This window comes from Homo sapiens, chromosome 3, assembly GCF_000001405.40.
Source record: "Homo sapiens chromosome 3, GRCh38.p14 Primary Assembly".
Classification (NCBI taxonomy): domain Eukaryota; kingdom Metazoa; phylum Chordata; class Mammalia; order Primates; family Hominidae; genus Homo; species Homo sapiens.
In genome coordinates, this window is record NC_000003.12 from 171,684,809 (window position 1) to 171,712,243 (window position 27,435).

A 27,435-nucleotide genomic window follows, 5' to 3' on the forward strand; every position below is an offset into this window, starting at 1 on the left:
ATTCCTGGGCTCAAGCAATCCTCCTGCTTCAGCCTCCCAAATTGCTGGGATTACAGGTGTGAGTCACTGCACCTGGCCTCTTCTCCATTCTTAAATATATATCGATGCTGTTATGATTTATAGACACAAATTTATTTAACAGTTACACTGAAGTTTTAGTTCATTGTGTGTAGTTGATTATTGCATTTTTTAAAATGCAGCGTAGCTGGACCAAGCTTGTCCAACCCACAGCCTGTGGGCCACATGCGGCCCGGGATGGCTTTGAATGTGGCCCAACACGAATTCACAAACTTTCTTAAACATTGTAATTTTTTTTTGCAACTTTTTTTAGCTCATCAGCTATCATTAGTGTTAGTATATTTTATGTGTGGCCCAAGACAATTCTTCTTCCAATGTGGTCCACGGAAGCCAAAAGATTGGACACCCCTGCCCTAGATGAAAGAATGCTGGGAATCATTACTCAAAGTCTAGCATAATTTTTCAGGTTCATTAGCACCTGCAAGCCACAGGTGACTCACATTCAGGCATGTGAGCTAGACTGTAACTCTCATCTGCTAAACAGGACATGAGAGCCCTGGCCTTAGGTTCTAGCCAAAAAAGCATAACATAGTAATCTTTATTTCTGCTAAATCACAGGTCTTAATTATGGGCACTGGGAGGATGATAAATTGGAACTCCATTGGGCAGGTCATGTATCATCTCTAACCCTGAGTTTCTTCATCTGTAAAAAGGAGATGACAATATCACTACCAAGCACTGCAACTACTCAGGGCAGTGATGGATAGAGTCTGTGCAAAATAAATGTTAGCTTATGATCTTACTAGTGTCATTTATTATGATGATTACTTATCCCCATATCTGACCAGCGGCCAAATCCTTCTTTATTCCCACCACAAGTTAAACTTATTAGTCATTCATTAATTCCTCGAGTATCTGGAGTATCTTCTTACCAAAGGCTATCAGATTGTAATTTCTGAAAATTCACACAGCATGACACATCCACCCAAAGGCCTTCAAGATTTTTAACTGGCCAGGAGCGGTGGCTCACACCTGTAATCCCAGCACTTTCGGAGGCCAAGGCAGACGGATCACTTGAGGTCAGGGGTTCAACACAAGCCTGGCCAACATGGCAAAACCCCATTTCTACTAAAAGTACAAAAATTAGCCAGGCACGGTCATGCACGCCTATAATCCCAGCTACTCAGGAGGCTGAGCTGAGGCAGGAGAATCGCTAAAACCTGGGAGGCGGAGGGTGCAGTGAGCCAAGACGGCCCTACTGCACTGCAGCCTGGGTGACAGAGCAAGACTCTATCTCAAAAAAAAAAAAAAAAAAAGATTTTTAACCAAATAAAATTCCAGCTCCCAAATGTGAATGTCATATATCTTCTTAGTCTTATATCAAAAACTGCATTTTAGCTAAATAATGCATTTTACACAATTTGAAAGCAGTTGGTGCTTTCCCATTCCAGCACCTTTGCTCAACTCACCTCCCTCACTTGCAATGACTTCCTATCACCTACCCCAATTAAATTACTTCCAGGCCTAACCCAAATGTCCCCTCCTCAAAAAGTCTTTCTGCATCATCAGAGAGGAATTCCTCCCTCCTTCCATAGAACTTCCATGACACTATTGAATTGCATGTGCCATGCATTTTCTCTTATTAGGTCTGTTTTGTCTTTGCTGCTATAAGTTCTTAGGGAGTAGGGATCTTGGATACTACAGAATGCTTTGCACAGAGCAGGCTCTCAATAATATACGTAGCATAAAAATTGCAAACAGAAAGCCAATCTGGAAACACATTCACTATGCCCATGCAGCAGACAACACAACCAAAGCTCAAGCCTAAGGGAGTTCTGCCACTTCACAAATTACTTACCAGCATGAGGTCTAGTGAGTCCTTGCTCAGACTCACTGGACGGGTGAAAGAGTTTGAAGTGGGGTTTTAAACCATGGATTAAATTGTGATGACTTCTATAGTGATTAAAATAACCTAGAGAAATTAAGAATTTTTTTACAAAAAAATACAAATATCAAATTTTCTAAACTGGAAAGCAAAGCTGATCATTTTTAAAACCAGGCAGGGCTATAACATCAGTCTTAAGATTCTGTGCAACAGAAAATTGTAGGGCTTTAAGATGGATTTCAAAGGAATAGTAAATTTACAAGATGTAGAAAGTCTGATGTTTGACGAAATAAGCTTGATATATTTCTGGATAGGAAGATAAATGTAATTTCTTCTAAGAAAAGTTTATAAAGTACATCTAATACCTTTTTCTTTTATGGCTTGGCATATTTTAGAAACCCTTTGTCATTCTGCTACCATTAGAAGTGGTAATCGTGGTCGTTATGACTTTTGTGTGGATAAAACAATAAATCTGTTCTAAAATGAGGCAAACAAAGCCACCAAATGGCATGAGGTTGAATAGAATGATATAGCGACCTCTCAACATTGCTCATTCTACTCCATTACAGAAAGACAGATTTTAAAAACAGGTATGTAGTGTCTGGCTATGGAAGAACAGTGGGTAGTTAAGATAAATTCTAGTCAAGGCCATGACTTACTGGAGGTGCTGTCAATGCTGCTGATGCTATCTGCGTCGTGCAGGTGGTGCCTGTGGAGCTGCTTGTAGAGACTAAATTTGGAGAACTTTCTTGGCTTTCCTATTCCTTTCAGTTTTGAATCCACATCATCAATACTCTTCTGGATGGGTAGGTTTTGAACAGGCTCATTTTTATCTTTGAGTCTTAAGGATTCCATAGACTCCATTGCGGCAGGCTGAGAAAAATTTTTTTTTAAAAAAAGACACTGCATAAGACATGCTGCAGTGTGGTTCTTTAATTCAAGTAGAGCTGAAGTATAAAGTTTACAAATGATGGAGGTTCTATAACAGACATGCAATAATGTCTGAGGTCAGCCACAGGGTAGTGGTGGATTCTTGTGAACTGTTTAAAAACTACCAAAGGAATATGAGGAGTTCTGCTATGGTCTTTTTTCAGTAGGCCAAATTCTTGAAATTTCACTCCAATTAAACTTTTAATCTCAAATACAATTACATGGGTTACATTCAGTGTTGAGCTCCTGAACTTGTTCCTCTAATAAACATTAAGTAAGCAAGGCTTCCTCTGTCAATCATTTTCCCTGTTCCTTATGCACTAAATTGCTATTTTTGCATAAGTTTTGCACTATTTTCCAGCAGTAAATAAGATGAAGCCCATCAAATTTTTTAATAAGTGTATTCATATTCTGGCAGCCATTTAGTTGAAATAGCAAGCAGATTGATATACACTTTTTTTAATAAGTGTATTCATATTCTGGCAGCCATTTAGTTGAAATAGCAAGCAGATTGATATACACATACAGATATTTTGGCAGCTCTATTTAAAAGGCACTTTGGGAAGTTATTCACTTCTGGCTCAAATTCCCTCTAAATGACCCCAGACTGACCTATCCTGTTTTTGTATATCTTTAAGTAGGAACTTTCCAAAAACTGTGGCAGATACTTAAGGCTTTTTACTACCTAAATCTCAATTGCCACATATTTTTGTTTATGAATCTTATTTCTGAATAAAAAATAAATCTTAATTAAAATGGAAAACAAAGCTGAATATGGGACAGCCAAAATTCCACTGAATCTGTTTTCTTTTCTTACAAGAGAAGAACAGACTCAGCAATGCTAAGTTACAGCTAGCTAGGTGGGGAAGCTGGTGTTTGAAACCAGGTCTGTCTCATGATTGACTTAAAATGTTCTTTTCCCCTCCAAGGAGACACCATCTCTTATTCAATGAATCAATCAGTCATGCTACTAATACAAACTTATACAAATTATGTTCGTGTTATACATTTCCATAAAGGTTAAATATACTTACTGGGAGGGAACCCAGAGACGGTCCTGAAGTGACCCGCTTCACACTGCCCACGTCTGTGAGTCTGTGCTCATTGTCGTCCCACCTTCCATAGGCCAGGTCAATCCCTCCCACAAAGGCCACCGATTGGTCAATGATGACAAGCTTCTCATGGTGAGCCCACAAATAGACGGTGGATGACACATGATCCGGGTGTCTCATCACCTTGAGAGGGAATAATCCCCACTGATAATATGCTTTTGAAATGTCCTTCCTGTCATAATGAAATAGGTCTGTGTTCTCCCTGAAAAGCATTTTCTATAATTCAAATACCAAACTGTACAACGTATACACCAAAGAAAATAATTTTATTCTCAGCATTTAGCAAAAAGAAAAAGAAAAAAAAAAGACTCCTATTTACTCTTCAAGCTCCCACGCCCATATACTATATTTTGGGGCAGCCGCCATTTAGCTTGAGGTCTGGCAATACATTAGAAAACAGTCAGCTCAATTTGAAAGCTGGTTCCCTTCCCCCTGTAAGGATTATGTTAAATCTGGTACTAAAAAAAAAGCTAAAAATATTTAACTACTATTTATCTCTGGAAAAATGTGTAATGAATTATATTGATATTTTATCAGTCATTGAATTGAAATATTAAGCATATGAATATAGGCATATAGATATTTTGGCAGCTCTTTATTTAAAAGGTACCTTGAGAAGTTAGTAACCTCTTGCTTTCAAAATTATCCCAGTCTGACCTATCTTATTTTCATTTACCTTTAGGTAAAAAGATTACAAAAGCTTTGGCAACTACTTTCCTCTTTTCCTTCCTTCCCTCCTTCCTTCCTTCCTTCCTTCCTTTCTTTCTTTCTCAGAGACTCACTCTCACTGAGGCTGGAGTGTAGACACGTGATCATAGCTCACTGCAGCCTTGAATTCCTGAGCTCAAACGATCCTTCTGCCTCAGCCTCCTGAGTAGCTGGGACTATAGGCGTGTACCACCATGCCTGGCTAATCTTTTTGTTTTTTGTAGATATGGGTGTCTTGCTATGTTGCTAATGCTGGTTTTGAACTCCTGGCTTCCAGCCACCCTCCCACTTCAGCTTCCCAAAGCGCTGGGACTACATGCATGAGCCACCATACCTGGCCTTACTGTTTTCTTAATAACACATTTTTTAAAAATTGTAGTAAAGTAAGCATAACATAAAATTTACCATCTTAACCATTTTTAAGTGTACAATTCAGTGGTATCAGGGTAATGAGTTAGAGAGTCTTCTCTTCTCCTCAATTTTTGAAAAAGATTGAGAAAGATTGGTGGTAATTCCTCATTAAATGTTTGGTAGAATTCACCAGGTCCCTGGCTTTTCATCTGGGGGAGATTTTTAATTACTGATCAATCTCCTTACCAGTTAAAGGTCTATTTAGGTTTTCTATTTCTTCATGATTTAGTCTTGGTAGTTTTCTTATTTCTAGGAACTTGTACATTTCCTCTAGGTTATCGAATTGCTTACAGTAATATCTTAGAATCATTTTTATTTCTGTAGAATTGGTAGTAATGTCTCTACTTTCATTTCTGATTTTAGTAACTTGAGTCTTTTTTTTTCTTAGCCCACCAAGCTAAAGGTTTGTTGATTTTATCTTTTCAAAAAACCAACTTGGTTTCATTGATTTTCTGTATTATTTTTCTATCCTCTGGTTTTATTTCCCACTGCTCCAATCTTTATTTCCTTCCTTCTGGTAGTTTTAGGTTGAGTTTGTTCTTCTTTTTCTAGTTCCTCAAACTGTAAAGTTAGGTTGTTATTTTGAGATCTTTCTTCTTCTTGCAAGTATAGCTGTAAATTTCCCCCTTTGCACTGCTTTCTCTGTGTCCCATAATTTTGGTATGTTGTTTCATTTTCATTTGTCTCTAAGTATTTTCTCTTTCCCTTGTGAATTTTTGTTTTATCATTGCTTGTTTAACAGTGTGTTATTTAATTTCCACAAATTTGTGAACTTTCTAGTTGTCCTTCTGTTATTAATTTCTAACATTATCTTGTGGTCAGACAGATGTTTGTATATCTACCTTTTAAAATCTATTAGGACTTACTTAGCAGCCTAACAGATGGTCCTGGAAAATGCCCCAAGTGCACTTGAGAAGAATGTGTATCCTGCTGTTGTTGGGTAGAATGTTCTGTATGCCCATTGGATCCAGTTGGTTTACTGTACGTTCAAGTCCTCTGTTTTCTTACTTATCTTCTGTCTGGTTGCTCTAACCATTACTGAGAGTGAGATGTTGAAGTCTCCAACTATTATCATAGACTGTCTTTTTCTCCTTTCAATCATATATTTCGATTATCTGTTATTAGGTACATAAATATGTATAATTTTTATATCTTGCTGTATTGAACCTTTTATTAATATATAATGTCCTTCTTTGTCTCTTGTAAGCATGTTTTGATTTAAAGTCTATTTTGTCTGATACTAGTTTAGCCACTCTTGCTCTTTTTTGGTTACTATTTGTGTGAAATACCCTTTCCATCCTTTCATTTTCAACCTATTTGTGTCTTTGCAGCTAGAGTGAGTCTCTTGTAGATACCATATAGTTGGATCATGGTTTCTTAAAATCCAGTCTACCAATCTCTGTTTTTTGATTAGAGGGGTCAATACATTTACATTTAAAGTAATTATTTGTAAGATACTTCTGTAATTTTGCTACTATTTTCTACTACATGTCTTATAGCTTTTTTGTCTCTCATTTCCTGCATTACTGTCTTGTTTTGTTTGGTTGATTTTTTGTAGTGACATGTTTAAATTCCTTTCTCATTTCTTTTTGTTAAATAGCTATATATTTGATTGCTATTTTCTTTGCAGTTAAATGTAACATCTTAAAGTTGTAACATTCTAATTTGTATTTATACCAGTTTAACTTCAGTAACATACAAATCTCTGCTCCTTTAACAGCTCTTCCCTCACAGTTGTTGGTGTTGCAAAATTACATCTTTAGTGGGTACTTGATAGAAATTTGGTGAATGAATAAATAATATATATAAATTACGCAACCTAATAAATCATTCTTTGGGAGAAAACACTTTCATTTTTTCTAACCAAGTGAAACATACAATTGTTACATATTTTAAGCCTGCTGGAGGTTTGTTAATTCATTATGTCTTGATGTACCTCAATGACTGGGTTATATTTATTGATAGGTTTTAGATATTGGCAAAATATCAAAGAACTTTTTCAAATTGCTTTTCATGTTTATTTACTTTATTAGTATTTTATACTAGGTGCCATTGATTTTTTAAGGCATTTTAAATCCTAGAGGAGATCTCTTTGCTGCTATCAGTGATCAGGGGATGTCACAGGGAGATCACATCTAAGAGGTTCCAGGATAATGAGAAGTGTGAGAACTTGATAGAGCTCGTGAATATCAAAACAACTGCAGGAAACATGTTCTTGTCTAAACTCTCACTTTCAATTATCAGAGTCAGAGAAGCAGAAATGTGAGATCTGCTTACCCCCATCAATGTAGGGAAGATAAGAAAGTACAGTATTTTGCTTTATTTCTGAGGACACAATGCTATTTGATCAAATATACATTTGGGCATTCTATAGATTATTACTGCCCAGAACAAAACATACCTGAAAAAATCCTATAGAATAATAAAGAAACATTGGTTATCAAGATGAACCTGAATACCTTTATGTTGGGATGTAGACGCATCAAAGTCCTCTTGGTGTATTCACTATTGATGCCAAGAGCGAGTTCCACCTCTTTGTAGAGCATTATGAAGATCCTCACTCCTTGTTGCTGTCACAGGAGAAAACCGATGGAGGAATGAGTATCTCTGGAGGGAAGTTACAATTCATTTTCTTTTTCCTTTGCACTGTACTTTCTTTCTTTTTTTTTTCAGAGTCTCACTCTGTCACCCAGCCTGGAGTGCAGTGGCGCAATCTCGGCTCACTGCAACCTCCACCTCTCGGGTTCAAGCAATTCTCATGCCTCAGCCTCCTGAGTAGCTGGGATTACAGTCGCATGCCACCACGCCCAGTTAATTTTTGTATTTCTAGTAGAGACAGGATTTCGCCATGTTGGCCAGGCTGGTCTCAAATTCCTGACCTCAAGTGATCCACCCGCCTCAGCCGCTCAAAGTGCTGGGATTACAGGCATGAGCCACTGCACCTGGCCTGCACTGTACTTTCTAACTTCTTTTATAAACAAGTAAGATAAAATTTTAATGAAAAAGGCAATACAAGGAAGTGACACATAAGTGCGTATATTGAGACACAAATATTAAAAATAAAAATCTATCTCCCTTCCATTCTTACAACTGGTCATATCAAGAAAGAATCAATAACTGATTAAAGATCCAAAACATTGAAAACTTTAGTATAAAATGGACACCCAAATTCAATTGATTCATCCTTCCTTAGACCTTGGATCTAAAAGAAAATAGACAAGGTCACCGTGGCCTATTTAATCGAGTCAAATTAAATCAAAAGTGCCTTGTAGATGCTAACATGCTATACAAATAATACAATTATTTAACAATATTAATAATCAAAAAGACAATGTCCAATCCTTTTGTAGTTCATGAGCATGATGATTGTGTGTTCACACACAAGCGTGAGATGTGCCACACTCGAACCTTCTTACGACGTCTGCACATTACCCATCTCATCTGAAAAAAAGATTTAAACAAAAACCAAAAGACCAGGTCCAATAGCTAATAGTATAGAAAAACACTGGTATTTTCCATTCTAGTTCTGGTTGGTGACAGGCTTTCAGGCTAGGCTAAACTGCCCCTTACTGGAATGCTCCTCTCCTTCTGCTTGCCCACTCATGGATCCCCCTCCAATGTATAGTTCAGAATGTATTACCTCCAGGAAACTGTGGCTTATTCACCCCCACCTTGTGGATTGCTTTTTTTACTTTTTAGGCTTGAATCCTCCTTATTTTTGTATAGTTTGCACCATTTTAATTTGCATTGTTTGCACCCAGCAGCTCTGAAAGCATTCTGAAACATTTTGCATATATACTGGATTATGTATCTAAATGACACCTGGCATTTAATATCGTAGAGATTAAAGGTAAAAATTTTCCATAATACTTTCTAGAATATTACAGATGCAGGTGTATTTAATAAACCATAATAAAAAATAATTTTGTTACAGTTTATATTAAGATTCCATGGTGATTAGTCATTGTTTATAAGGGAAATTTGAATAAAAATCTTTAAGATATCTTACTGGGTTGAACACACCTACTTTACAAGAACTAAAACTTTTTGTAATGCTATACGATCTAACATAACATAGGAGTTAATGTTTTTAGATTCTAGATCACATCACAAGATACAAAATCTTAGAGCAAACCAAACACATAAACATTTCTGTAATATTGTTCTGCCAATACTAAAAAGCACGTTTTGGACCCTAAATTCCTTATAATAACACAACACTTCAAAATACTAACACTCTATTTTTCATGGTGTTAGTAATATCTTAAAGGTGTATGTATTTCTGGAGGTGCACACTAGATTTACATTCTGGTGTGCATTAACAAGATTTGAGTACTAGGAGAAGACTCATTCTTGCTCTAAAAAAAGCAGGATCAAGAAGAATATATATGTCATACTATTTCTCTGGTTAACAGCTGGCTTTTAGTACTTGCTAATTATTTATTATAATTATGCAAGTACTATTACAATCAAGAATATAAATACATATTTCAGTAAAGAAGTAAAAGCATAGGCAGAAAGTGAACAGATTAATTTTAATGGTCTGGCCAGAGAGTGCTCTGTAATTAACCACTGATGAAGGGCTCTAAAGGAAAATTACAATATTATTTTATTTTTCTCCTCTACTGTTCAGTTCTATTTTTGGTATTTGAATATTTTAGAATTCAGCACTGAATAATGGTTACAAAAAAAAAAAAGCCTTTCACTAAAAGATATAATACAAAGGGTAAAACCCAAAATTTCAACCTAAATAGTAGAACATTACACCTGACATTCTTCATCATGACCCATTTATTTTAAGCAGATGAAATTCTGCTTCTTAGGCTTAAGACATTATTACTCATGAAGAGTAGTAGTTGCAAATTAGGAACTTGGCCTGAATCCTACAGTTTTCTACTCACCTGCATAACTAATGGATTTTTGAAATAATAGAGATATTAACACTAATGGAATACATTACTACTCTCCATTTATTAATACCTGACATTTCTTCTATACTGTCTTTTCTCATTGAAATAATTCTAAAGGAAATAGGGTAGAGACTTTGTCTTTTTAGCTTAAAGACAAATGACCAATGAGGAAGCAATTAAAGATAGAAAGTTCATTTGTATGTGGTTTATAATTATTTACCTACACCTATAGCCACAATAAACAGTTAATTAGTGACAAGATTCCTGTGATAATAAAGCAATGCATTCTTCTTCTTTTGGTCAAGGTATTGACTATTATAAACTCTAGCCATAAAGGGCAAAGGCGAATGAATCATTCCTTGGGGATGAAGGCATTTTCCAGGTTGTTATAGTGTAGGCTTATACAAAATGTGGGAAATATTTCTGCAAAATGAAAGCCAAAGGAAAAAAAAACCTGATGATGTTAATTCTGCAATTTAAAAAATACACTTTCAAAACATCCCATGCTTTAGTGCCTAGTGCCTTTAAATACCCTTGGGGAAATTACTTTTTGCTTAAAGAAAGGGACGGAAATTATTAATAGGAGAAGTAGAAAAACAGATGGCCTGGAGTTGCCTATGCAATGCAGTGTTTCTTATCTCTGGTGAACTCAGCTGACCCAAAGTTTCCATAGAATAAATTTCATAAAACATGACTTTTAAAAGATGAAAGTTCTGTCCTCTTTTCTAATTAGTTTTTTGTCAAGTAGAGCAGACATAACACTATAAACAGTAGAAATCTTTAGGAGCTTTAGATATTCAAACTACATGGGAAGACAATGAAAAGAAAATTTTTATAGTGGAAATCAGTGACTTTGTTTCTTAGCCAACTTTTCCTCCGATTGCTCAAGGGAGCATAGTGAAAATATTTTCTAAATGCAGCCAAGTTTGTCCACTGCCTGAAGACAGTTTAGCCCACCCCACCCCCCCAACCCAGGATGCTCACTAATGTTTTTGTCACTTGCCAAGGACTTCCCCAATACAATATATTAAGAAAATGTAAAGATGTAAAGTAAAGGATATAAAGAAATCACTTCCTCACCGTTTAAAAGCAGGCAGCATTGGGATATAAGAGCACAAAAGCTCATGTGCCTTTTTTTAAAATCCAATTTTGTTTGAAGCACATTTTTGAAGCTGAAGATACCTTCCCTGCAAGCCACTGTTGCCCACCACTTTGATAAGACTCATTTGATTTTCTGTGTAGAGATGTGATTATTCCTGTCATTTCTCAGTTCTGGACAACTTTCCCTTTTATTGGTCACTGACTGCAACTCTACATTGTGCCTTGTGATCCAGGACAGAAAATCAACCTGAAGACAAATTCTCCCATTAGTCTAAGTTTCATAGGAAATATCACAAGCTTCTAAGGTTGAGATACACAAAATTGCGTGTGGGGATTTGGCTGCCATAAGTATGATGCAGCTTATCTCACCTCTTAGCATAGCAAGTGCAGAACTGTGGAAAGCCCTGAGATGCTGATTTCTTTGAGTTGTGAACAGTCTGCCTCTGAAGATTGGCTTTTATTATTTTAAATGATGGCATTGCAGATCAGAAGGCCAAAGAAATAGGAGAAGTTCAACTTGGTTATTAATCAGATACATAAAATATTCTATTTTTTCTTAAGAAACAGCCATCATAAGAGATGTTTGCCATACGTTGGCTATAAGGCAGAGACAGTTCCTAAATTCCTCTCAGAATATCTGCACAATCAGATAGAAGAAAATAAAACATTCATTTTAATAAACCTTGTGGACCTCTGGGACCTGTTAATGCAAAAAACAAATATTATGTTTCAACCTCATACTTTGCAAAGCTAGTGTGTGGCTTTCAGAAACTAAATTATTTATGTGAAGCCATATTTATGTGCATATAAAATGTCAATTTGGAGTGATCCGAGTGTTAAAAAATTTATGAACAAAGTAATAATATGGTGGAATGAGATTAAGGAAGAGCAACTCCGCTAAATGTACCACCAAGAAATCAATCTTTAATTGTATTACTATTTCTTTAGGAAATTTTAAATATCGCTACCCACAGTTTAAAAATTACCAGCTCCAAGAAGTGGATGAAATGGAAATGAAGCACTGTTATCAGGCAATAACGTTTATTTGGCCATGGTGTTCACGAGGGACCTCGCCAGGGTTCAAGGGCCAAAAAAGTAAAGAGAAGTCACACTAGACACAGAAAAGGTAACCAGACAGGTATGCCAAGGGCAGTAAACAAGCGCATGCCAGCAAACAAGAGGTGGAAGCCAGGCCTGCAGGATCTTCCTCCTGAGCCCTACCGAGGCATTTACTAGCTTTCTCAAGTTAACTTAGATGTCTTGTAGACACTGTATCTTCAAGTGATCTAAACTTTAGCTTTCTGAATCAGCTCTTCCCAGTTTCTTCCACTATCAGAGTCACCTTCCGGACACCTTTTTTTTTTTTTTTTTTTTTTTTTGAAACAGAGTCTTGCTCTGTTGCCCAGGCTGGAGTGCAGTGGCACAATCTCGACTCACTGCAAGCTCCGCCTCCCGGGTTCACGCCATTCTCCTGCCTCAGCCTCCCGGGTAGCTGGGACTATAGGCGCCCGCCACCATGCCCGGCTAATTGTTTTGTATTTTTAGTAGAGACGGGGTCCGACACATTATTTTGATCAGACCACCCCTGCTTCCCCACACCGCCCTGCCCCGCACAGTACTGCCCCACTGTCTCCCATAAAGTCAAACCACTAGCTTGGCTCACAAAGCCTCTGCATCCCAGCTGCAACTAGCAGTTCCAGCTTAATCCCCCATCCGGCTATGCTAACACTCAGATGTGATGAACCACCCTACCGTGCCTGACAAAGTCTTTGGCACTGCTGTTTACATCTACTACACCTAGAAAGTTCTTCTTTCCCTTTTAAAAATGTTTGTCCATCCTAAATGCCCCACATCCTTCATGTTGTGTGGAGCTCCCCAACTGGACCTTTTCCATTGGGAAAGCCCAATGCTTTCCCTCTTGCCATTAAATCGGGGCATTGTTTCTGCATGCAACTGACACTTCTGCAGATTTTATAAGCTCCTTCAACTTAAGAATCATGGCTTTTATTTATGTACATCCTCATATGATTAGCCAAATGCCCTGCACATAGAAAACATTCAATAAATACATATTGATTGAAACCTAAAACAGTGAGGTGCTGATTAAATATTATAAGCAAAAATTTACTAGTATTAGTACAGATTGCTACGCAAGGCTGGAAAAATGTACTAAAATAGAATCTTGAGGGAAAATGGAAAAGATGCCATTTCATTGAGAGAAACATAGAGAAAGTTACTGCCCATTCAATAGGTAGAAAGTAGTCTGGTAAGGCTAGGACTGAGCCCAAGACATGAGTCCCTCAGCAAGTTCGCCACTGGCAAGGTTCAAATCTGATTCATGGTGGCATTCTTAGTGATTACCGTAGAAGCTGGCTCATAGGAGACAGTAACCGTATGATGAATTATTTAATAAATATGTGAATAATGTTTTCAGAATCAAAATGTCCAATTCTGTAACTGGAATTCTATTGATGAAACAAACTAGACTATCCATCAAAATGATGTTGTTTGGCAGAATGTGTTTCAAATAAATATTATCAATTTCTTTTGCTTTCAATATTAGCAGTGAGGTCTGACTATATTTGTGGATATCCCCAGAAATACTCAAGTAAATGCATGGGGAAAAGATACAGAAAGAAAAGGGGAAAGTGAATGGGGAAATAAAAAGTGGAATGCAGAGGATAGGAAAGAAGAAATGAGTGAAAGCTATGAGAAACAGAAAAATGCTAACCCCAATTATTTAGGCTCCACACGTTCTGCTAGCATGTTTAATGACAGAATAAAAAAAGGTTGGCCGGGAGCGGTGGCTCAAGCCTGTAATCCCAGCACTTTGGGAAGCCGAGGTGGGCAGATCACCTGAGGTCAGGAGTTCAAGACCAGCCTGGCCAATGTGGTGAAACCCCGTCTCTACTAAAAATACAAAAATACAAAAAAAAAAAAAAAAAAGCCAGGCATGGTGGTGGGCACTTGTAATCCCAGCTATTTGGGAGGCTGAGGCAGGAGAATTGCTTAAAGCTGGGAGGCAGAGGTTGCAGTGAGCCGAGACTGCACCATTGCACTCCAGCCTGGGCAACAAGAACAAAACCCCATCTCAAAAAAAAAAAAAAAAAAGGTTAAGACAGTTTCTGATAATAGCAAAAAGTTAGCACTTCCTAATTTGGACATGCTAAATAATAAATCCCAGATCTATTTTTAATTTAAACTGATTTAATTTTAAGGGCCTATTACATTAAAAAAATCACTAGAAATATGAATGCAGTCATTAGTGAGCCTAGGCTGCTTCAGTTATTTACTTTTTATACCTAAAAAGCACACATTCAATGTTCACCCAGAATGTACAGGGTCAACTCCACAGGAAACAGTTTCACATTTTTACCAGGAACTTTACCAAAACCAGAGAAAAAACACCACCAACTGTGACTATTCCTCCCCCTTTAATATTATTCTACACCACATTAGCCCCATCTAGCTGAAACCATTCTCCAGATGAGTTTTCCTTTTGCTTAAATGACAAAATAATGAATACAATTAAATGCTATGCTCCATTTCATCATTTATTATTCAATGATGAAATTTTATTATAATTTTTTTGCCTATAAAATTAGCTGCCCATAACTGATTCAAAAATAAGAATTAGAGATGCTAACATAATCCATGCTGTGAATTAGTCTAAAATATTTATGCACTCAAAAGCAATAGGAATAAAATAGAACCAAATGAACTGGAAAACATTAGTTATCCTACTTTTTGTCAAACTCTAAAGTGAAAAGTTATACGTGTGAAAGGCTTTGAAAAGAAAAGCATTTCAGAGACAACAGACAGTTAAAAAATTATATCAGCATTTTCTGGGAAAGTACATACTGCTTTTCGTTTAAGAATGCAGTCCAACCTCCAACGATTTCCCTCAACCACTGGGCGTTTCAGGAAGATTTCTGGACTCAGCCTGAAACAATGAAACCAAGATTTTAAGTAACTAAAACAAAATATAAAGTTCTGATTGTGTCATAGGAAGCAAAGGCAATTTCAGCCCAATTCAACCCCATTATCATCCTCCATTGTGATGGGTAATCCAAAGCTTTACTATGAGTCTAGGAACAACTTCGTATGGGAAAAATAGCCTTTAGCTATACAAAACATCAATCTTAGTTCTTTCTCTCTCTCTCTCTCTCTCCCCCCTCTTTAACTGTCTCTCATACCCACATGCTCACATATGCACACAGGTACTGTTGGTTGCCCACCCACAGCCAATCTCCAACTTCTTCCCTGCTCTCAGAGCCTCTCTCCCACCACAGACTGAATATTCTAGATACTTGCTTTCCCAGACTCCTGTGCAGCTAGAGCACAACGTGACACAATCCTGAACAATGAGATATATGAGGAGGTACACAGGGGCTTAATGGGAAAGTTTTTCCTCCCTGAAACACACACACAAACACACACACACACACACACTCTCTCTCTCTCTCTCCCTCTCCCTCTCTTTCGCTCTCTCTCCCTCCCTCTCTTTTGCTCTCTCTCCCTCTCTCTCAGAGAAAGCCCTGCCCACACTTCCAGCTTTGGGATGGATGTTGTATGGGAGTATGATGCTTACAGGGGTGCAGCAATATTGAAATTCTAAGGGGAAGACCATAACCCCAGAATCACTAAATCACTCTGCCAACCTCAGGATTGCCCAACTTTAGACTTAACATTAAATGTGAAAAATACATCCTCAGTGTTTAAGCCCTCTTTAGTTGAACATTCTGTTACCCCAAACTAAAAGCATTCTAATAGATACACAGACACATGACTTCCTATACAAAGAAGCAGCATCTGAGGGAACCTGGGGCTTTCTGGACAGGGGAGAAGGAAGGTCGGCTGATATATGAAATTTTTCCTAGGCTCTTCTCCTTCAGTAAGGCATAAGGCAGCTAAGGTAAGCTAAGCTTCACAAGGCAGCTAAGAGTACAATAGAGTCATTTTTCCCCTGGGGCTGGGTTCTAAAGTTAGTTTCTGAGTTAAACATGTACATGATGTAACTTCCCTGTAGTTAGAAAAAAGAAGCAGTAGAAAATACTCCTTTCTCCACTGAACTGCTAGACCTGAGGCAGCAGAGGTAGACTATGTCAGGATGAAAGCCTTATGGAATTCTGCACTGGAGTATTGCCCTCCCAGGCAGCCCTCTAAGCATGTGAAATCAACAGTGCTTTAAGGAGCTAAAGAGATTAAAAGAAATCAATTTTATGCTCTATTTCATTCAGTTAAAGAAAATAAAAACCCAGAGATAAAGTTTCTAAAGGAAACGTTATTGGGTAAAATAAATAAGGAAACAGACAAATGGAAGAGTTTGGACAGTGTAAGTCTTGCATATTTAATTGAGAGTAGGAAACAAACTCAAAGGTAATCTATGTCCAAACAAGCAAACAAACAAATAAAGCACAGCAATTGATCAGAAAAGATCAAAGAAGCATTAAAAGGAAATCTGTTTTAAAATAGTAAAATGCATTGCTGTGCACTGCTAGTTCACCAAAAGTGAGAGATAGCCAACAACATATATACAATTGCAATTTTTTGATGTGTACATTAAATATGGGCTCAAAGAGCTTCGGTATGGGGGAGACTTTTAATGTCATACTCTGCAATTAAGTATTTATCATCATTTATTTCATTTAATCCACAAACATGTGTACCCTTGTATGCTAAGCATTCTACAAGATACTTTGAAGAATCTTAAGATAGCTCTTGAGGAGCCCTCAATTTTGAGGATAATGCATAAAAAGAAAAAAAGATTTTGTTATATCATGCTATAAAAGTATAAACCATGGCTGCATGGCAAGAAGAAAGCAGCTATAACTTACCAAGCATTATTATGTAAGAATCTTTACTTACTTGTAAACAAAGTTATTGTTTAATATTACATTTCATTGGATCTAGGACACCAGTGACTGTAGGATGCATCGTTACTGCATGTACCACTAAGAAAGAAAACATCATGACAACTATAACTGTAAGAGCATAAGATGCATCCTGATTGCGGAGATATTAAGACGTACCTCTAAGTAAGTGTACCACTTAGAAGATTTAATGACTTTAAATGCTTACATGAGAAAGACAAAAAATTAAAAATTAATGATCAGACTTTCCTTTCTTAAAAGATAGAAAAAGAAGACATTAAACCCAAAGTAAGAAGATGGGGGAATAATAAATATAAGAGTAGAACTTGATGAAATACAAACCTGAAAAAATACAGAGAAAATTCAATGAAACTAGATGTTGACTCTTTGAAATATCAATAAAATTTGTGAACTTCTAGCAAGGCTAAAAATAAATGACAAAAAAATGATTGAAAGGATGGGCTCACATGTATAAACCCAGCACTTTGGGAGGCTAAAATGGGAGGATTGCATAAGCCCAGGAGTTTGAGACCAGCTTGGGCAACATAGCAAGACCCTGTCTCTACGAAAAAATTTAAAAAATTAGCCAGACATGGTGGCTCATGTCTGTAGTTCCAGCTACTCGGGGGGCTGAGGTAGGAGGATTGCTTGAACCTAGAAGGTTGAAGCTGCAGTGAGCCACGATCATGTCAGTGCACTTCAGCCTGGGCAACAAAGGAAGACCCTGTCTCAAAAAAAAAAAAGGAGTGAAAGACAGGTAATCACTATAGGGCCTAGAGGCATTATAATTATATTAAATGAATAATAACTATTAAAAATAACTGTATGCCAATATTTGTGGTAATTTAAATAAAATAAACATATTCCTTGAATAAAATATTTTCATAATGAAAATAAAAAGAAATTGAAACTGACTTCATAGCTATTGAAAAACTGAATTTGTAATTAAAACTTTCCTACAGGGAAAACTACAGACTTTGCCAACTTTACAGAATTTATTAAACATTTACAGAATTTATTAAATATTTGAATTTTATCAAATATTTAAGAAAGAAATGATGCTAGTACTACCTAAATTCTTTCAGTAAACAAAGGAGGAACACTTACTATCTTATTTAATGAGGTCAGCATTATCCTGATACTAAAACCAAATAAAGACAATGCAAGAAAACTAAAGAACATCCCTTATGATCACAGAAGTAAAAATATTTACCAAAAACACAGCAACTTAGAAAAATAATACTACATCATGATCAAGTGGGATTATCCTAAGATATAAGGTTGGTTTAAAAGTTGGAAATCAATCAGTGCAATTCACCACAGTAACAACAAAAAGGAGAAAAACGTTATTATTCAACAAATGCAGAAGAAATGATGAAATTCAATATCCATTAACAATAAATACTCCCAACAAATTAGAAATAGAAAAAAACTTCCGTAGTGTAATAAAGGGTACCTATAAAAAAATCTATCTCTAACATCACACATAACATAACAAAACTGCATGCTTTCCTCTTAAGATTAGAAACAAGGCATTCTCACCACTTTCATTCAACATTTTACTGGTGATACTAGCCAATGCAACAAGGCAAGAAAATAAAATATAAAGCATACAGATTAGAACAGAAGAAGTAAAACTGTCTTTATTCGTAGATCACATAATCATCTATAGGACAACCCTAAGCAATCTACAAAAAAGCTACCAGCACTAATAAATTAATTTAGCAAGGTCACAAGCTATAAGGTAAATACACAAAAATCAATTGCATTTCTAGTTCTGTATGGAAAATGAATTTTAAAATATAATTTACAATAATATCAAAAAACATAAAGTACTCAGTAAAAAATTTAACAAAATATGTAAAGACCTATACATAGAAAAATACAAAATATTGCTGAGAAAAATTACATAAGAGCTAAATAAGTGGAAGCCTCAATATAGAAAAAGAAGTACCACCTAACCAGTGGTAAGTTTAACATTTTTCTCCCTTTGATTCCTTGACTTGGAGGGAAAACTTGGAAACAGGCATTGGCACAGAGAGAACTTCAAAAATCCTCTAGTTCAGGCTTGGGGAGAAAGCAAAGGATCTCTGGTAGTGACAGGGTTGCAGTGGAAAGCCCAAAGTTACTAAAACCTCTGAGGCAGGGGAAATCTCCTCTCCAATGGAGATGTAAATACACCTGGCTTGGCTCTGGACATGGGTGCCATCAGAGAAAGCACATTGCAGAGCACAGTAAATAAAAACCCATCTTTCTGGCTAGAAGACTAAAAAGGGAAGCCATGGGAAACTAAAAATTGGGGAGAGGAGCTCAGAAAAGCAGCTCCATAAAGTTGTTTCTGATTTCCTGGCTCATTCCCAAGCTGCCTATGCATGGATTTCATCCTAAACATCACTCCAAAGAGGCTGAGAACTGAACTGAGGAATAGACCACCACCGAAGTCCCAGAAGGGCCACTAGGTGGCACACATATGGGGCAGATCTGAATAGCACCACAAAGGCATTAACAACAAAACCGGCATTAAAACAACACTCATAAAAGGCTGGTTGGAACTTTAAGCCTGAACTGAAATTGGTAAATTGCCTGCTAAAACAAAAATACTAACATTCTCCACAGGATTCAAACAAGACTCAAGAGTCTTATAACATAATAATAAAATGTTCTAGAATACATTAAAAGTACCTGGCACACAAAGAACCAGGAAAAAAAAAAAAAAAAAAACCTTATCTTGTACAGAAAAGGGAATCAGCAGATGTCAATACCAAGACGACATGGATATTGAAATTATCTACTTAAGGCTATGTCAGATATTATAAAAATGCTCTAATAAGGGTGAACACTCTTAAAATGAATGAAAAGACAAAAAAGTCTTATAGAAAAAGATATAAAGAAGAACCAAATAAAAATTTTCAAAGTGAAAAACACTATTACCAAAAACACTAGAAAAACAAAAGCAAACAATAAATTCCCCAAACCTCACAGGATAGGCTCAATACCAGAATGGAGATCATAGAGCAGCAGTCCCCAACCTTTTTGGCACCAGAAACCGGATTCATGGAAGACAATTTTTTCCATGGGTGGGAGCTGGGGGTAAGGATAATTTCTGGATGAAACTGTTGCACCTCAGATAGGCCAGCAGGCACCAGTTAGACTCTCATAAGGAGCGGGCAGCCTAGATTCCTCACATGCGTAGTTCACAATAGGGTTCATGTTCCCACGAGAATCTAATGCCACGGCTGATCTGACAGGAGGCGGAGCTCAGGCAGTAATGCTCATGCTCGCTACCTCCCCCGACAAGCTCTGGCTCACCTCCTGTTGCATGGCCTGGTTCCTAACAGGCTGGGGACCAGTTTGGCTTGGAGGTTGGGGACCCTGTCATAGCGGAAAGAGTCAATGAATTTGAAGGCAAATAAATAAGATACTATTTGTGTCACTGAAGACTCAGAAGGAGGAGAGAAAGAGGAAAGTTCAGAAAAAATGTGTAAAGAAATAATGGCTAACAATTTCTTAAATTTAGCAAAAGATATAAAACTACAGATTCAGGAAGCTCAGAGAACCCCAAACAGGATAAACCCAAACATCATAACCAAACTGCTGAAAACTAAAGACAGAAGGAAAATATTGAAACCACTCAGAGGAAAAATAACACATTACTTAGAGGGGAACAATGTCTTCAAGAGATGGAAAATTTCTCAACAGAAATCATGGAGGCCAGAATGAAATGGAACAATCACTTTAACTAGAATGTACAAATACCTCCTACAACTAAATAAGAAGACTAACACAATCTCCCTCTCAAAAAAAAGGGAAAAGATTTGAACAGTTAAACCAATGTCCAAATAGCACATGAAAATTTGCTCAACATGAAACGATGTTGCTGATACAAGCTAAAATCATAATAAAACACTACTGTATACCCTTTGAAATAAAGACTGACAACATCAAGTGCTAGCAATTATGTGGAAGAATTGAAACTCTCATACATTGCTGGTGAAAATGTAAAATGGTACAACTTTGGAAAACACTACATTTAGCTCTTAGTATTGATAAAATGTGGTAAATTAAATCTATCTTCTAAGATAGGTGTCAACAAACTATAGCTCACAAGCCAAATGTTGCCCATAGACTGTTTTAGTATGGCCTGTGAGCTAAGAATGGTTTTTATATTTTTAAAGAGTTGTAAAAAAAATATGCTTCAGAGACCATACATGATTTGAAAAGCCTAAAACAAATTTACTCTCTTGCTCTTTAAAGAAAAAGGTTACTAACCATTTTTGAAAGTCAGTGGCTTTAAAACTTTTAAACTTTTGGACCATAAGCTGCAGAAAGAAATACATTATACACCCAAACCAACACCGGGTCAGTCAGTCTATCTATCTATCTATCTATCTATCTATCTATCTATCTATCTACAACTGATATAAAAGTTTCCAAAATTAGTAGCCCTTATTACCACTTACATTGTACCCTTTCTTTCTTTTCCCTTCCCTTTCCTATCCTATGCCATTCTTTTTTTTTTTAAATGCTGGTCACAACTTACCAAATTATTTTAATACACAATTACTAAAGAGGCTCAACCCATCATTTGAAAAACACTAACAATATTAAAACCAACTTAAAGAATGTTGCATTTAAAACCAACTTAAATACTTTTAAAACATGTATTCTTTTACCTGGAATAGTCTTTGTTTGTGAGTCAGTTAGTAATGCAATGCTGATTTATTTTCTTTATAACCTTTGTCTCCGGCCCAACCTTTGTCTCTTCTGTTTCTCTACCCTTTACAAACACCCTCTTTTAAAAATCTCTGTTCATTGTTTTTCTTTTGTATTCTCCTGTTTTATTAATTCTATTTCTGACACATTTAACATACTGACTCCATACAGAGACTGGTAGATAACCCCACTCTCTCAGATCTACGCATACTAGTGTTTGGTTAAGTTTCTGAATGCTCCTTTTTGCAATATGCTTGTACAACAAGAATTTTCTTTACTTGTTTGAGGGAAGTTACTGTGAAGGTTTTATTTCTAATGATGTGTTGTAATAAAATGGTATCCTAGTGCAGTCGTGAAAAATAAGTAACCCCGATTCATTCTCTTGCTGAAAGTAGAGAGGAAAACATTCAGAGTTCCATCTCTTTATATGTTTAATTGAATCAACCTAAATGACCATCAATGGTAGACTGGATGAAGAAAATGTGGTACATATACACCACAGAATACTATGCAGCCATAAAAAAGAATGAGATCATGTCCTTTGCAGCAACATGGATGGAGCTGGAGGCCATTATCCTTAGAAAACTAACACAGGAACAAAAAACCGAATACTACATGTTCTCACTTATAAGTGGGAGCTAAATGATGAGAACACATGGACACATACAAGGGAACAACACACACTAGGGCCTTTCAGAAGGTAGAGGGAGAGGATCAGGAAAAATAACTAGTGGGTACAAGACTTAATACCTGGGTGATAAAATAATCCATACAACAAATTCCCATGCTACAAGTTTACCTATTTAACAAACCTGCAGTTGTACCCCTGAATTTAAAAGTTAAAAAAATTTTGGTGTTCAGACATAAAGCATGAAAATCTAGGCTCAATAGAAAAATTATTTTTAGTCTCTCTCACATCTTCACCAAACTTTCAGAAATATTTTTTAAAGAATATAGTACTCACTGGCACAAATTTATTATCACAAGTGTTCATAAAATATTCAACCAAAGAAATAGCTCCTAAGCATGAAACATTTTTTCCTCCTAGTAACTGACTGAAAAGACAAAATTTGGTAACAATAGAAAGACCAGAATTAAGCTCCTCCACAAGCATGAGCATGCTGGCCACCACATACCCTGTCTATCCCCTCTAGATCAGTGATTCCCAGCCGACAAGGATCTTGCATCCTCTCCCAACCCCAACCAGGGAACATCTAGCAATGTATGAAGATATTATGGTGGTCACAACTGGGAACTTACTACTGGTACCTAGTGGATGCCGCTAAACACCCTACAATGCATAGGACAGCCCCCTACAACAAAGAATTATCTAGCCCCAAATGTCAACAGGGCAAAGGTTAAGAAAGCATGCCTTATAATTATAGATTCCAGACAACCGAAGCAAAAGATGTGTTTGCATTCTTGAATTAGATATTGATATTGCCCACAAAACCTAGAATTAGAAGGGAATAAATTATGATGATATATTAACAGTTCCTATAAGGTACCTTTTGGAAGAAAACCGGATAGAGTAAAATAAGGGGTAATTCAGGCAACTACTACTAAGTTCCTAGAAGGAAAACACATTTTAGACATTTCCATATCCATCGTAGCCAGTGTTGGCATGTGTAATGGGTTTTAACTTTCCAGGCAGATGAATGATTGGAACTGAAGTCAGACTAGAATGCCTACACCAACTACAGGAGTAAATTTCCCAAGAGTTAAATGAGTTTCCGATATGAGGCTTCTGGTGACTTTAATAAGCATAGCAACTCTTATGGATATTTTTTTAAGGTGGTCACAAAGTTGAAACCGGATGTATCTCTAGAACAGCTGACCAGGCCTAGTCATTACAGAGGATATTTTTACGGTAACAGGCAAGTGGAACTATTTCAACATCAAAAGGACAATTTAGAAGAAGTATATTCACTGGCCCTCATGACAGACATACCAAAATTAGAAAAAGACATCCAAAGACACCATTACCTCTATAACTGTACTTGCATTACAGTATAATCTTTACTGACATGAAAACTTGGAAGTCTGCTTCCAAATGCAAATATAAAACCTAATTGTTCAAACTAAGTATTTTATGAATATTGTTGAGGCCAAGGTTTTTGAAAAGGCCTTTCACTGAAGGCTTAGTCAACTGGTTGAGACCCTGGCCAAACCATCCACAGATACAGCTGATTTTCATAATGTGTAATTCTTGAACAGCACTATACCACTGTACATTTCTAAACATAGAGACTTCCAGAAAAAAATTCCCAGGGACAAATACTAACCACCAGTCTGTGATAAAAATCTCTTCATTTGCCTCTTCCATTGCATTTGCCACATCTTCAAAATATCCTTTGGCATTAACATACCTGAAAGACAAGTTTATTGTTCCTTTTTGTTATTAAAAAAGAAAAGAAAAGAAACTTATCTTATGGTAAAGCAAAACATGGAAGCCACTGCCTAGAGTCTCCACATAACACATAACCACCATTGACTTTGTGGACCTGGAAAACAAGGATTGAAAATACCAAGTTTCCTCTGCTGCCTAGGAAGGGCAGTAAGTGTAAGCAGCCTGATTTTTCTCTGCTTAGAGAACAACAAATTTATTGAGCCTCATCATCATAAGGAGCCAGATTAATTTTCCTATCCTGTTGAACTTACATACAGTTTTTCTTACATACAGTTCTGAGACTGAAAACAAACTAGCTTCCAATCCACGGGTAGAAAAACATGCTAAGCATGACTTTATTTAAAAGAAATATCTAGCAAGTAAATGCTTTTTCCTAAATTAGGGGTAATGACTTAAATAAACCTTCCATTTGCATCATTAAAGAAATGTATGAAGTTAGCTTTAAAATTCAAACTTCAAAATCTAAAGCTAGCTAAGCTCACTGTGAAAAATCTTAAAAGCAACAATTGAAAAACTAATCTATAATCAGGTAGTCCCATAATTATCACAAAAAGAGAAGCCCTTGTTAAGTATAATGCATAATCTTTCACAGTTTTGAAAACTGATTCCAGGTGAATTTAGGCCAGTGTAATATTAGATGCTATGACTGCCTTGACAGGCTTAGAGAAATAATAACTTACCATTTAGCTAAAGCATTCTCTTGGATAGCAGCATATGACCCAAATCGATGATCTTTGAGAAAGTTGGTGCCATGTTTCTGGATGAATTCTTCTATAGCCCCTCCCCACCACCGAGCATGTCTATAGCTGTTGCATTTTAAAATAAGTGTCCTTTAAAGAAAAAGCCAAATATTGAAAAGACTGGTCACTCTGTTCTATCTCATGCTCTTTTTTATTTGGTAATATACCAAACACAAACTGAAAATTTGAGGCAAAGAACATCAAGAAAGCAGGCATTTAACATTTTTTGGTAGTATTTCTAAAAATATATTCAATATAACAAAAATAAATGTTCAGGTTACTTATTCATTCACTCATGCAAACATGCATAAAGGTACTTACCATAGACCTAGAGCTGTGTGCTAGGCCATGAGGAGGATAAAGAAAGAGGGGTAAGGTGAGGTTCTATTTTTAAGTATTAGTTAGAGAGCTGTTGGCTCCCGTACAGCAGCGGTCCCCAACTTTTCTTTTTTCTTTTTTTTGAGATGGAGTCTCGCTCTGTCGCCCAGGCTGGAGTGCAGTGGCGCGATCTAGGCTCACTGCAAGCTCCACCTCCCGGGTTCACGCCATTCTCCTGCCTCAGCCTCGAGTAGCTGGGACTACAGGCACCCGCCACCACGCCCGGCTAATTTTTTTGTATTTTTAGTAGAGACGGGGTTTCACCGTGTTAGCCAGGATGGTCTCGATCTCCTGACCTCGTGATCCGCCCGCCTCGGCCTCCCAAAGTTCTGGGATTACAGGCGTGGTCCCCAACTTTTTTGGTACCAGGGACAGGCTTGTGGAAGGCAATTTTTCCACGGATGATGGGGAGTAGTTTCGAGATGAAACCGTTCCACCTCAGGCCATCAGGAAGTGATATGATTCTCGTGAGGAGCGCGCAGCCGAGATCCCGCGCATGTGCAATCCACAATAGGGTTCGAGCTTCTGTGAGAATCTGATGCTGTGGCTGATCTGACAGAAGGCGGAACTCAGGTGGTAATGCTCCCTCGCCCACTGCTCACCTCCTGCTGTGCGGCCCAGTTCCGAACAGGACACGGACTGGTACCCCGAGGGGGTTGGCGACCCCTGCTCTAGAGGGCACTTCCCCTTGTGCTCCCTAGTATCCATTCCCTCAGCTTCTGGAAATATCATCCCAATTGTGCTTCATGACAGCCATCCCTTCTCTTCAACAAAGCTAAGCAAAATGGCATATTCCATCTTTCTGGTTCCAGAAGGTGGTTCTGGCATGACTATATTGTGAGTTTTCTATTTCACTAATCATAGGAAAACTGTTCTTTTTTTTTTTTTTTTTTTGAGACGGAGTTTCGCTCTGTCGCCCAGGCTGGAGTGCAATGGCGCTATCTTGGCTCACTGCAACCTCCGCCTCCCGGGTTCAAGTGATTCTCCTGCCTCAGCCTCCCAAGTAGCTGGGATTACAGGCCTGCACCTCCACGCCCGGCTAATTTTGTATTTTTAGTAGAGACGGGGTTTCTCCATGTTAGGCTGGTCTCGAACTCTCAACCTCAGGGGATCGGCCTGCCTCGGCCTCCCAAAGTGCTGGGATTACAGGCATGAGCCACTGTGCCAGCCTTTTTTTTTTTTTTTTTTTTTTGAAATGGAGTCTTGCTTTGTCACCAGGCTGGAGTGCAGTGGCTCAATCTCGGCTCACTCCAACTTCCGCCTCCTGGGTTCAAGCGATTCTCCTGCCTCAGCCTCCTAAGTAGCTGGGACTACAGGCGCGCACCATCATGCCTGGCTAATTTTTGTATTTTTAGTAGCGACAGGGTTTCACAATATTGGCCAGGCTGGTCTCAAACTCCTGACCTTGTGATCCGCCCACCTCGGCCTCCCAAAGTGCTGGGATTATAGGCGTGAGCCACCGCACCTGGCCAGGAAAACTGTTCTTTTGCAATAATAATCAATTAAACATATTGATACCAGAAAAAAAAGGATACTCATGTACATTTGTTCATCGATTCCTATTAACAAATGGACATGAGTATCCTTTCAGGCATTCCTAAGCAAATGTGAGGACTTACTTGCTCAGGAATGCCAGGAAGGGACTCTCTTGCTTCCACAGAATTTGGTGTGAGTGTGGGAGGTGGCCATCTTGCTACCACAAGGGAATCAGTCATGCTCAACATGGCTGATTAGTTCTCTTTGGTATAAGCCAGTTTGCTTTAGATTTTTCTGTCACTCATAACTAAACTATCCTAAACTCTTACAGAGTTATAAATGCTAAAAAAAAAAAAAAAAAAAAAAAAATTCAGAGTGGATTACAGAAAGTTTTTTCTTAATGCCAAGTGTCAGAATTCTGCCTACTACTAAGAGGGAAAAATAAGTTATCCAAATTTGAAGTTTGAAGGAAAACAGAGTGTTGGAGCCAGCTGTATCCCTGCCATGTAGGCAGAAATCTACCATCATACCAATGTAAGAAGACTATGCGTGAGGAGGGAGGTTGCTTTTTTGAGGAAATGCAATGATCCTGATGAGACGCAGGGAAGGGGGCTGTGTTCACAGATTCTAAAAGAATTATTTATAAAGATTAGCCATGTCCAACCTGCTTTCCTCAATATGTCAGAGGTAGATGCTGGCTTTTGTCTGAAAGTCATGAAGACAGGGAGAGGCTGCTGCTGCTGGGCTGTGGAGACAGGGGAGGAGAGACG

General features: G+C 37.5%; 1 protein-coding gene and 1 non-coding gene across 13 annotated transcripts in view; one reads left to right on the forward strand and one right to left on the reverse strand.

Moving 5' to 3' along the window:
* The window catches only part of PLD1 (phospholipase D1), a 210,080-nt gene that overhangs the window by 84,405 nt on the left and 98,240 nt on the right, over window positions 1–27,435 (reverse strand). For 6 of the 12 annotated variants that reach the window (XR_007095693.1, NM_002662.5, XM_047448316.1 and 3 more), the window contains exons 10-16: window positions 24,752–24,901; window positions 23,947–24,030; window positions 14,937–15,018; window positions 7,524–7,634; window positions 3,868–4,068; window positions 2,563–2,776; window positions 1,877–1,990 (exon numbers count right to left, since the gene is read on the reverse strand). Coding sequence is in view for 11 of the 12 variants with exons in the window: in NM_002662.5 (NP_002653.1) it covers window positions 1,877–1,990; window positions 2,563–2,776; window positions 3,868–4,068; window positions 7,524–7,634; window positions 14,937–15,018; window positions 23,947–24,030; window positions 24,752–24,901 (956 nt within the window). In the remaining variant the exon portion in view is untranslated. Of the gene's footprint in view, window positions 1–1,876; window positions 1,991–2,562; window positions 2,777–3,867; window positions 4,069–7,523; window positions 7,635–11,054; window positions 11,685–14,936; window positions 15,019–23,946; window positions 24,031–24,751; window positions 24,902–25,132; window positions 27,009–27,435 lie in introns of those variants that run through there. The other 6 variants (NM_001130081.3, XM_005247534.3, XM_047448317.1 and 3 more) reach the window with 4 other exon arrangements.
* On the forward strand, window positions 8,403–8,506 carry LOC124906352 (small nucleolar RNA U13). The gene has a single exon (XR_007096319.1). It is a non-coding gene; the product is annotated as a small nucleolar RNA U13 (small nucleolar RNA).